Source organism: Homo sapiens, chromosome 10 (genome assembly GCF_000001405.40).
Source record: "Homo sapiens chromosome 10, GRCh38.p14 Primary Assembly".
NCBI classification, from domain to species: Eukaryota; Metazoa; Chordata; class Mammalia; order Primates; family Hominidae; genus Homo; species Homo sapiens.
Window position 1 is genome coordinate 6,670,009 of NC_000010.11, and position 12,380 is coordinate 6,682,388.

Genomic DNA, 12,380 nt, shown 5'->3' on the forward strand with positions numbered 1-12,380 from the left:
GGGTTTATAATAGGATGTTTTGATATATGTGTACGTTATAAAATAATTACCACAATCAAGCTAATTAACATATACATCAGGTCACATAGTTACAATATTCTCTGTGTGGTGAGAACACAATAAAATCTGTGAATGAGAAAAATAGAAAGTCTCAGCAAATGAATAGAAATACAAAGGAGAACCAAATGGAGATATTAGAATTGAAAAAGAATGAAGTGAGTTCAGCAAAGTTGCAGGATACAAGCACGATATACAAAATCAATGGTACTTCTATGCCATTAATAATGAACAAATAATCGAAGTGAAGAGAATTCCTGGCTTCATATCTAGCTTTCATGTGATAAACAGGGTCATGGTACTATTTGGAATGAAAGAGATTTATGAGGGCGATGATGCCTTTGTTCTCATATATTTAAAAAGTGGTTATGGTGATAGGGTTAAGGGCATTTATTAATTATTCTCTTTCTGAAAAAGCAAAGCTGTGTCACTTGTCAATGTCAAGGGACAGTGATAATATACTGCAAGTAGATGGGAAGGAAGTCTGGATACAGAGGAAATGAAGTATAATGAAGTTTTGGGGCACCGTCTTCTGGGTTGATAGTGTTCTCTCGCCCTTCTCTGGCACTTATCTTAGAGGCAGTGGAAGCTGCATCCTGCTGGGATGCCTCAGCTACATGTGCCTGTACTTTGTGGGTGCTCTGGCTGGGGATAAACAGATCACTTTGCTTTTTAGGTAAACAGAACAGGAAGGAGGGACACTGAGGCCAGACAGGACAGTTACTGGGAAATGGACCTAGCTCTTTGTTTAAAAAGCTCTTTAAGGCATGGTGGATAAAATATGTCCTTAGCTCTGGCCTGTTTTGTGCAAGTGTTTGTATCAGACAAGCCTTGCCTGAAAAGTGGAAGATTCCCAGGGCAGTGACATCACAGTAGTATTATAACCAGTGGGTAAGGCAAGAGGTTGGAATGTTTGAACCAAGAGGGCTGGCACTTAGAGCACTGCTTAGACCCTGAGCATGCATTGGATTGCTTGTTAGGGAAACTGAGGCAGAAACTCAATCCTATGTACTGGATTAAGATAGTGGGGCAGGAGGTACATTAAGTGGGCACTCTGAGCTTCCCCTGAATCCCTAGTTACTAAATCTGTTAGCAGCAAGAATGAGGATTCTGTTCTGCTTCTTGCCCCTTTTGGGGTTGGCCCAGAAATCTGCAGGCAGAACCAACAGCAACTGGTTGGAGAAAGCAGAGGCAAGGTTATATGAAAGACACTTACTGCCATGAAGATTAGTTGGCCTAATTAGCTTTTCTGCCAGATACTCGAAGAAGCTCTTAATTTTTACTTGTGAAAGTACAGCAAATTTAGTTCCTCTCATGAATGGACAGAAAATAAGTCTTCACAATCTCAGTCTAAAATGGGAAGGGGTTTCTAGGCCTAAAATTTAACTGGGAGGGTAGACAATTTAACTTTGCTTGGCCAACGCTTTTTATTCAACAGTAAGCTCAAGTTGCAAGTTTCGGAAAGTGTGACGGGGCCTAACATGGAACCCAAAGGGCCACCAGAGTACTTGTGCCAAAGAAGTTAAAGACATTGTCGATCACAGTACAGATGGATGCTTGCAGTTCTTTTACAGAGCACTGAGGAATGAGAGTTTTAAGTAAAGCAGGTGCAACCCATTCCCTGTTGAGGTACTTACCTACGATCTCTCTTCATTTAACGAAAATCCAGTTTGTTATAGAAAATTCTGAGTGATATCAGATGAATTATAAACCATGGTTTCCCCCTTTAGGATGGAATCTATTGAGTTAATGATTTTCTGCCAATGTTATTATCTGTTCTCTGAAAATGATATGTGTGATATGTGTGATATCATATCCCTGAAGACACTCGAGATGGCTGAAGGAGGAACAGCTTTCAGAACTTAGATCTTCAGAGCCCTTGGCCACTCTCAGGGGACTAAACCAAGATTTTGGCACCTCATTTTGCGTGTGTATAAAATATGTAAGTGACCTCTCTCCACTATTTTAAGGAAAGGCTAACCCATGCATATTGGAAATACAGAGGAAATGCACAATAGGGAGTCAGAGAAGAAGAATTCAAATACGATCAGGTCAGCTTTGCACAAACACATGAGACATTCAATTCCCAGGGTCAAAAAAGCGGATGTCAGATCGCTGCCAAGTCTGCTGGGAATCTCAAATCCCTCCGTGACCTGTTCCTGGACTTCCTTCCAGGCATGGTGCTGAAATGAGACGGATACTCCCTTACATTTTCTCTGGATTTGGGGGCATCTTGCACCAGATTCAGAGTTCTTTTGGCTTCAGCCCCTAAAAACCTGACTGTGTCCTCTCTTCTTTATGCTTTTTTCTTCTATTTTTCCCATTTTTCATGCATGCTCACAAACTGGTAACTGAGACTGATTCTGCCAATCCTGGAAGCATCCTCTCTGTAACTATTTTCTGGACCATGTCTCCCCTCCCTCTCCTCACCTTGCACTGGATTTTGAACCCCTTGAGCTCACATCCCTGCAGATACATAACACGCTTGAAAATGTCTATTGAATGCGTGAAAAAATGAGTGTTTTTTTTTTTTTTTTTTTGAGACCGAGTATCACTCTGCTGTCTGGAGTGCAGTGATATGATTTCGGCTCACTGCAACTTCTGCCTCCCAGATATCAAGCTATTCTCGTGCCTCAGTCCCTGGAGTAGCTGGGATTGGATTATAGGCATGCGCCACAATGCCCAGCTAATTTTTGTATTTTTAGTAGAGAAGGGGTTTTGCCATGTTGGCCAGGCTGGTCTCAAACTCCTGGCCTCAAGTAATCCACCCACCTTGGCCTCCCAAAGTGCTAGGATTACAGGCATGAGCCACCACCCCTGGCCTGCGAGTGTTTTTCTAGGGCTAGAAGCCAGGAAGGAATGCTGGACACGATCATGTCATCACTTTGGGAGCCTATGCCAGCTTTCTACTGAAACTTCCAGAAGATTATTTTTTCTTTTTAAAATCATTTTTGTCATCTTAAACATCTCTGTACGTGCCTATTCCTGCTTTGTGTTTTCTTCTAATTCCCAGTTCACTGGAAGAGTAAAGACAGTTGACATTGTCGGAGTCTGGGAAACAGTCCATCCCTCCCTGGCTTTGGTTACCACCAACTACCTCGGTTCTCCTCCTTCAATATTCAGTTACCATTACCCCTGGGGCAGTGTTTCTTATACAATATCAAAACACTTCAAATATATAGAGACATTAGCAGTCAAAATTTCCATCAAAGGGAGAAAATAAAACCACCTTTTTTTTTTTTTTTTTTTTTTTTTTACTGAGTCAAACTCAACATTGTCACCCAGTCTAGAAAATATGCTTTCCCTGCAGTTCTTGCTAATTGCATTTTACTGCTGCTGCCTTCTGTTCTAAAGAAGAGAAGAGAACTATTCTGGAAACTATAATTGGATGGTATCATCAGTTATTATTTCCGAGGGAGGTCAAAGGTAGTCATTAGTTTTAGCAACTAGTGGTTCAATGAAAACTACCTGCAACAATGCAATGGGAAGCCATCTCTTTTAGTGAACAGAATTATTTCATACTCAATATTTGTTCTCTCTCTAAATATGTCAATGGAAATAAAAACATATTTCCGAAATAAACGGTGGCTTTATGAAGATTTTTTTCTTGAGATACGTACAATTCTCACCTTGCTTGGTTGACTTAATAAGCCCTATGGAGGCAAAATGATATGTGTGGTTGACGTACAATCACAACGTAAAAAACATTCCCGAGGCTTGCACCATTTAAAGGCTTGTTCCAAAAACATCAGACTCTCCGAGAGAATACAGGTACTTCAAACTCCCTTTTCTTCTGTGAGTACCATTGACATTCATGATTATCTTAGCTTAGGTGTCAGGAAACAGCCAATAATTATTGTCCATTTCAGAAGGAAAAACAGCATAGAATTATTAGAGGTATGGTAGGATTGGGGTTTTCTGCCTTTCGAAGTGAGTTGAACATGAAATAACAAAAAAGCAAAAACTGTAAACATTTAGAAGGAAATTTTACCAATTTTTGGAAGAGAAATATAATAAAAGTTTTAAAGGGTTATTTGTTTGGAAACAATAATGATCTTGAAAATGCAGCTCGATCCACCAAAGCAGTCACTTCAATATGGAAGCGGATCCTCATGGAGAGCTCACAGCTGCCTGTACCAGCTCAGAATCCACTGGATCATTTCACTGATCTTGGATCTATCTAAAAAAGATTACAGAGTAAACAATTCTTCAAGCCACAGGATCTTATGGTGGGTATTTTCTGTTTTGTTTCTGTCTGTAAAAAGTGAATTATAAAAACAAAACAGAAACAAACAAAAACCCCATCTCCCTTCTTTTTTTCTATTCGTTATTCCTGAACAACATCCACTTCCTTTTCTGCTCTTGTCTACCTTTGCAATTTCTGGCACAGATGTGCTATGCTGAGTGCCAAGTTTAGGTCCACAGATGTCGTCATAAAAAACAGGAACTAGAAAATTAGAAAATCTCAGTGCTTTGCAATGCTTATTAGCGCAAAACTGCAGCAATATGCTTTATAGTTTTTACTAGTAGGCTCTTGGGGGCAAGTCTACTCATTGGTTTGTGGACTTATTCTTACTACAAAATGGATCATTCTGTATAGACCACATCTCTTGATTAAGAGATGTGTCTATGGGACTTAAAAAAAAGGTGAAACTCTGATGTATGATTCCTGGTGTACTGTCCAACAACAACAACAAAGAATTTAGGGGATGGAGGGAATCAAGATTCATCTGGTATATAGTTTAAACTCCCTCTCAGTGTAGAAATTGTCCCAGCAACATCACATAATCCTTGAGTTTTAGAGTTGACGAGGACCTTAGAGAGATAACAGGGCAACTCCTGGAACCCACAACCTCACATAGAAACTCTCTGTAGAACACCCAAGCTGGATGGCTGCTTAGCATGGAAACCTGTGCAAGACACATCATTACCTTTTAAGAAATCTCAATATTTAGAAACAAGTGCATTTTAGAGAATTGTTCTAAATTGAATTGAATTGTACTGAATTGTATTTCAATAGAAACAAAAACATATTTCTGAAACAAATGGTGACTTTATCAAGATTTTTGTCTTGAAATACGTATAATTCTTACCTTGCTTGGTTGACATATTGAGGCAAATGGTATGTGTGGTCGAGGTAGAATCAGAACTTAGATGACAACATACCTGAGGCTTGTTCCATTTAAAGGCTTGTTCCAAAAACAAGTGAATTGTTCTGTTTAGAGAGCTGATTTCTAGCCTCTTGATGAATCCATGCATGGGTTCCGCCTCTGACTTCTGGAGCCTCACAGAAAAAGCTGTGCATTCCTTTAGTGTGCCTGGCCTTCAGACAGCTGAGGTCTCCTGGAGCAGCCTCCATGGAGTTTTCTCCATTTCCAAATCATCCTAGTTGTTTTATTCCCCACTCCTGGATAGGGGTTCTTCTTACCGTCCCTCTTCACCATCACGCTGACCGTCTTCCTGGGTGAGTCATGGCCTGACTGTTCTTTTCCTAAAATGACGTGTAGGTGTGACCACCCTGTAGGGGTGACCTGATTTATAAAATGCATCCTTTCTATGGCACCCTTTTGTTACATTAAATTAACAACATCCTTCTTATATGGCAGTTAACAGTCTGTCTAAGAATATTTTCAGCTTTATGAATTAATCTGTGCCTCTTAGTTTATGGTAAACCATTCTGCTTTTTAATTCTCAATTCCGTTCGAGCCACTTCATGTAGGTTATTTGACTTCTTAAAGAGCGAGGCCAGTTTCCGAAGTGGTGCTCTGAAAGGTCCGCCATCTCAGAGAATCAAGTCTCACAGTAAGGAAAAAAAGAAGAGACTGGATAAAAGGAAACGATTTTATGGACAGAAACACACTCTTTTTTTATTTTATTTTACTTATTTTAATTTTATTTGATTTTAAATTCTGGGGTACACCTGCAGAACGTGCAGGTTACATAGGTAAACTTGTGCCATGGTGGTTTGCTGCACCCATCAACCCATCACGTAGGTTTTAAGCCCCGCATGCATTAGGTATTTGTCCTAATGCTCTCCCTCCCCTTGCCCCCCAACCCCTGACAGGCCTCAGTGTGTGATGTTCTCCTCCTTGTGTCCATGTGTTCTCATTGTTCAAGAAACAAACTCATTTTAAAAATCTATCGTAAGGAGCTTGAGACAAAAAGTGCTAAAACACCACAGATACTAGGTAAGCCAGTGGTAGTATTTAAAGACACTGAAGCAGTAGAAATTTGAGATGTTGTTCCAGATAACACAAGTACCTCCCACTGATTAACATTTTGTCCTACAGTTCTGTTTTAAAATTCTTTTATGGGTGCTGGGAAAACTGGCTAGCCATATGCAGAAAGCTGAAACTGGATCCCTTCCTTACACCTTATACAAAAATTAATTCGAGATGGATTACAGACTTAAACGTTAGACCTAAAACCATAAAAACCCTAGAAGAAAACCTAGGCAATACCATTCAGGACATAGGCATGGGCAAGGACTTCATGACTAAAACACCAAAAGCAATGGCAACAAAAGCCAAAATTGACAAATGGGATCTAATTCAACTAAAGAGCTTCTGCACAGCAAAAGAAACTTCCATCAGAGTGAACAGGAAACCTACAGAATGGGAGACAATTTTTACAATCTACCCATCTGACAAATGGCTAATATCCAGAATCTACAAATAACTTAAACAAATTTACAAGAAAAAAAATCAAAGAACCCCATCAAAAAGTGGGCAAAGGATATGAACAGACACTTCTTAAAAGAAGACATTTATGCAGCCAACAGACACAAGAAAAAATGCTCATCATCACTGGCCATCAGAGAAATGCAAATCAAAACCACAATGAGATACCATCTCATACCAGTTAGAATGGCCATCATTAAAAATTCAGGAAACAACAGGTGCAGGAGAGGATGTGGAGAAATAGGAACACTTTTACACTGTTGGTGGGACTGTAAACTAGTTCAACCATTGTGGAGGACAGTGTGGCGATTCCTCAAGGATCTAGAACTAGAAATACCATTTGACAGCCATCTGATTACTGGGCATATACCCAAAGGATTATAAATCATGCTGCTATAAAAACACATACACACGTATGTTTATAGTGGCACTATTCACAATAGCAAAGACTTGGAACCAACCCAAATGTCCATCAATGATAGACTGGATTAAGAAAATGTGGCACATATACACCATGGAATACTATGCAGCCATAAAAAAGGATGAGTTCATGTCCTTTGTAGAGACATGGATGAAGCTAGAAACCATCATTCTGAGCAAACTATTGCAAGGACAGAAAACCAAACACCACATATTCTCACTCTTAGGTGGGAATTGAACAATGAGAACACTTGGACACAGGGTAGGGAACGTCACACATCGGGGCCTGTCGTGGGGTGGGGGAAATGGGGAGGGATAGCATTAGGAGATATATCTAATGTAAATGACGAGTTAATGGGTGCAGCACACCAACATGGCACATGTATACATATGTAACAAGCCTGCACCTTGCGCACACGTACCCTAGAACTTAAAGTGTAATAATAATAATAAAATTCTTTTATGACAATTTTAGACAAACAGTGGAGGTTGGAGAATTGTTTTTTTAAAAAGGCCCCTAAAGAAAATATAGCTAAATGTTGATAGTGATTGTTATAAAGAACATTTTTCTAATTTTTATAGTTCTACATTTTTAAACTTTTTTGAGCATGTGTTATTTTTGTCATGGAAAAAATGGACACTGTGATGGCCTTTTTATTCACTTCTCTTAGCCTGGTATATGTGGAGAAGAATTGGTCAGCTTATGCAATGTGTAGAAAAACTTTGGGTACTAACAAATAAAACTTTCCCAGGAAACAAGTTTTGAAAATGATTTAACTCTGAGGTTTTAAAAACACTTTAAACATTCCCTTTGCAAAAAAATTCATTGAAAACAAGCCGATGGTCTTAGGAAATATTCAGTTTAAACATTTACAGAACAAAAATTGGATCCTATTTTAAAATCATTCCTTTATAAATAAGTGTCTGAAATATTTTGGAATCCAGCAAATACATTCAAAAGCATGTTTGATTAGTTGGCTTGGGAAAGGAAGAAATTGGGCCTGTAAAACAAACCTTGCTTTAGAAATCCATGAAGTTGTCCCTCCCTACATCAAATTTCTAAAAGCAAGATGCCTACCACGAAATATGTATGGTTTTCAATTTGAGGCTGAAGTTATATAGAACAATGCTGCAAGTAGGCCACCCTGACTTCAAGGTCAGCGAAATTAACATCCAGATTGCACCGTCAAAATTCGTCATCAGCGATCATCATGCGCCCCCTTCTGGCTCCATTACCACACTCTCATTTGTTCCCGTTGCGTTGAAATGAAGGGAAAACAGGCTTTTGGACCTGGGAAAATCTTCCTTAGTTTCTTTATCTGCCCACATTCTCCTTTGTTCCTGTTGCATGGAAATGAAGGGAAAACAAGCTTCTGGACCTGGGAAAATCTTCCTTAGTTTCTTTATCTGCACAATGAGGAGTTCAGATCAAATCTTTCCTAACACCCCTGCCATATACAAAATTCTGAGCTTATTATATTGCAACATAGAATTTTGGAATTGCTCATAGACACAAATGCCTAAGGAACTTTCAGCAAAACTCTGAAACAGAAAAAGTGTTTGAAATTATGTAGTTTTTATCTTCGGCATTTTGAATGTGCATAATCATAATAAGAATTAGTCACAATTGTTCTGTTTCTTCAACTCTGTTCTGCACAGATAGGGGATCACGCTCTTTCAGATTTCAGAGGCAACTTTACAATTATCCTCTCTTTCATCCTTACATTTCTTTATATTTTATTTTTCCACATTTTATACTCTTTATCTTATTTATTTTCCTTTTCATTCTTTGTTTTCTTGTTTTCTTTCTTTTCTTGACTTTTTTTTTGTCTTTTCTTCATTCCTACCTTAGGTTTTATGAAATTAGTTGTCCCTTGGGTATAATAAACACCATAAAAGTACTGGCCCTCTTGAGTTAAAAGAGAAGATATTATTTTTCACAGCCTGAAATTATAACCACTTAAATGTTTGGCAAATTGGCACCATCTCCTGGCCACTTAAAGTGCCATCTGAACTATGTAGGTCCTACAATGCTTTATTTCCTTGCCAGTCATCTGAGTGTTCATTTTGCTCTATTTACCCTAAAAACTCCTCCCATAAATAGATCTGACATTTTGTGAGCATCTCATTCTGCTTAAGGCCTGATATTTACACTATGAAAGTGTGGCTTGGAGAAAAGCTTTCTGGATTTTCCGCTTGTTTTATTTATATAATCAAATCAAGACACCATAAGGAAAAGTCACATGGCTAGTCCTGAATTTAGGAAGCATATGACCCTTCTCTGTTCCCTCTGCGTCCACACATCTAGAGAATTATTGGGCCATTAAGACGGGTTTACACTTCTGGAATATCCACCTGTTTAGAGAGTCAGAAATGTGGGCATAGCTGAGGGGAAGGGATGGTCTAAATGCCTTCTAGGTGATGGGGGAAAACAACTTGAGCAAAAACAAAAACAACTGAGCTCTCTGAAAAGTTCAATAGCTAATTCTCTCAGTCTCGTGGGTCCTGGCATCAAAATGAAACAAAAGAAATTAGAAAAATTATTGGGAAATGAAAACTTGAGGACCTTATTATCTTAGCTCCACAGAAAATACAGGGTAGTGGTATATAGGTTAATTTCATCAAGAAAAGATAGCAAGATTTCTTGAAATTCAGAAAAAAGCTCATAGTCTTCTAGAATAGTCTAGAATTCACATCACACATACCTCTTCTTCTACACAAGCTTCATTACTGAAAAGAATTGCTAAGCTAGATATTCTTAGACTATTTCTCAGAAATACACTTGATAGAAGAAGCGATAGATCGATAACTGTGTGTGTGTGTGTGTGTGTGTGGAGAGAGAGAGAAATAGTGAAAGTTTAATGACAAATACTTTCATCTGGATCTTTCTTTTAAAGAACACATTTTTACCTTTAACCTGCCAAGAAAATGTTCTAACTCCTAGGGGCTCAATGGTTACTTTTGTTTACCAATGTCAAATTCGACATGTGCTTCTTATGATTTATATCTAAAGTCTAGTGCCATGATCACATTGAGAAAGAAAAAAATACCTTTGAAATAACCAGTTTAAGATGTCCCATGCCGCCAGACCCCCCCACTGTGAAACTCTCCATTGCTTCAAAAAGCTGAAGTTTCTGGTAGAAAAGACATATACTCTTTTCTGGAGAAGTAGCCACTTACATTTTATCCATGAATACAAAACATTTTTTTCATAGTTGATATTGTAGATATTACATAAATTTAATGGGCCCTGAAACTACTGGAAAATCTTTAAGTCATGTTGACTGCTTGGGTGATTTTGGATTCCTTGGCTTGCAAATCTCAGGAACTGTTTTAACAGAGAACAGTAGTGGCTTGTTTTGTGCTAAACCACCCCGACAGCAATTTAGTTGTCATTCAGCTACTAAAGCTTTACTTTATGGCTTTGAAAAACCTGGCTTTCCCTGTTCCATTATCTGCTGAGATAAAATGATATTGGAAGGTTATGACCGATGACAGAATGGCTTCTTTTCCCATCTTTTCTAGCCTCCCCATACGTTGGTCAACACGTGCCTTTTCTCGGCACTGAATGTTTTTAGAATGCTTTGCTTGCCTGCAGGCATTTTATGCTTACGAATTTCGCATCATTTCTTAACCTTCTCTGCATCTGCTTTCAGTCTCCAAAGGAGGCTAGAACGCTGGGTCCTCTGAGTCTACAGCTTCATTGCAGTAAAGAGGATGAGGGTGGGAGGGGGAGAGTACCTCTGGGGGGATTCTAATGCTCACATCCAATCTTGAATTGAGAGCAGTTGCCTGGGAAACAAAACCTCAAAAAATCTCATTTTCACATGCATCTTCAAATCTTCAAATGGCAGGACGTACTTCTGTGTTCAAAGGAAGTCCTCCAAGTCTAAGCGTCCAGCAAGTCGAGATTTATTATCTGCCCAACTCATCTCAGGATTCTATGGATATTTTCTATCACACTGGTAATCAAATAAGAATAACATACATGTGTTAAAAACAGACACAAATAAAAAAGGTTAAACTGGGTTTCTCTGGTTGTGTGAGTTGAGAGGCACCAGGGAATAGCAGAAAGGATTCTGCAATGCAGTCAGAAGACTCATTTTGCAAACATACCTCTAATTGGTAACTTAAATGTAAATTCGCGGTGAGTGCTTGGGCTGTGTGTCACAAATAAGACTCCCAGTCCCTGTTTCTTCATTGGTAAAGAGAAGTTTGGCATGGTCTCGAGATACTCCACTCCCGACCCCACCTCCTAGATCTAATAATTATCTGATCCTTTGGGAGTACCTAAAGGCTGTTGGCATCTTTCTACAAACATTTATTGGATAGTCATGATGTTGCCAATCTAGGGGAACTTCTTTCTATCACCTTAGGTTCTGTAACTGGAGCTTGCAAATCAAACTGATAAAATACAGAGTAACAGGAAAAAACATTTTATTTCAAATGCATGTGGCAGCTTTGCAGAAAAGAAGTGAAATCCCAAAGAAATGGTTAAGTTTGAGAGCTTATATACTATTTTAACAAAGGGTGATACATTGTGAAGAAGTGACAAAAGAAAAGGGGTTTCTAGGTGTGATAAATTGTGGAAAAAATTATATATATATAAAATATATATTATATATAGACAAGGGTTATTTAGTAAGTTTTTTTTTTTAATTCAAACGCAAGTCTCTAGTGATAAGCGTTATGTTGCATGATTAAGAGTCATTCTCCTCTTCCTGGTACAGGAGAGGGAGACGCCTTTACAAATAAAAATGTATTCCCTGTTTTTCAGGCAGAAAGAGGAAGGCCAGAGAATTCTTCCTGTATCTGCTGTTTCTCTAGTGCCTTCAGCTCAAATAATTTTTATGTCAAAGTGGCATATTTAAGGGTGGCATATTCTGATCTTTTTTATTAGCATAGTTCTTTTTTTTTTTCTTTTTCTGGCCCTTTTGTGTTTAGGCTAACTCATTGGTTCATTATTTGATTCATCATGGGCATTAACTACAAAAGAAATTTTGGGGGTAAAACATTAAAGAAAGGTATAATTTTTCAGAGATTATACAAGTTCAAGTGTATTTTTGGGATTTTTTTTCCATCAGAAATACATTCAACAGCAATGTTGATTATGCCACAGAGAATTGTCCTAATGAGTGTGTGTGTCTGCCACCCAAAACCAATGTTTGGAATGGAAATTATGCTTTCCTTCTAAAGGGCAGTATTATATATATATATTTCTTT

General features: G+C 38.4%; 2 annotated features.

Moving 5' to 3' along the window:
* Window positions 8,122-8,623: an enhancer, noted in NCBI's record as "NANOG hESC enhancer chr10:6720092-6720593 (GRCh37/hg19 assembly coordinates)". NCBI's record gives its function as "activates a minimal SCP1, AML or CMV promoter by ChIP-STARR-seq in primed H9 embryonic stem cells {active_cell/tissue: H9 hESC(primed)}" and the evidence as "EXISTENCE:reporter gene assay evidence [ECO:0000049][PMID:30033119]".
* Window positions 8,283-8,441: a silencer, noted in NCBI's record as "fragment chr10:6720253-6720411 (GRCh37/hg19 assembly coordinates)". NCBI's record gives its function as "represses an EF-1alpha promoter that drives an FKBP-Casp9 reporter gene in an ReSE screen in phorbol 12-myristate 13-acetate-treated (for megakaryocytic differentiation) K562 erythroleukemia cells {active_cell/tissue: K562(+PMA)}" and the evidence as "EXISTENCE:reporter gene assay evidence [ECO:0000049][PMID:32094911]".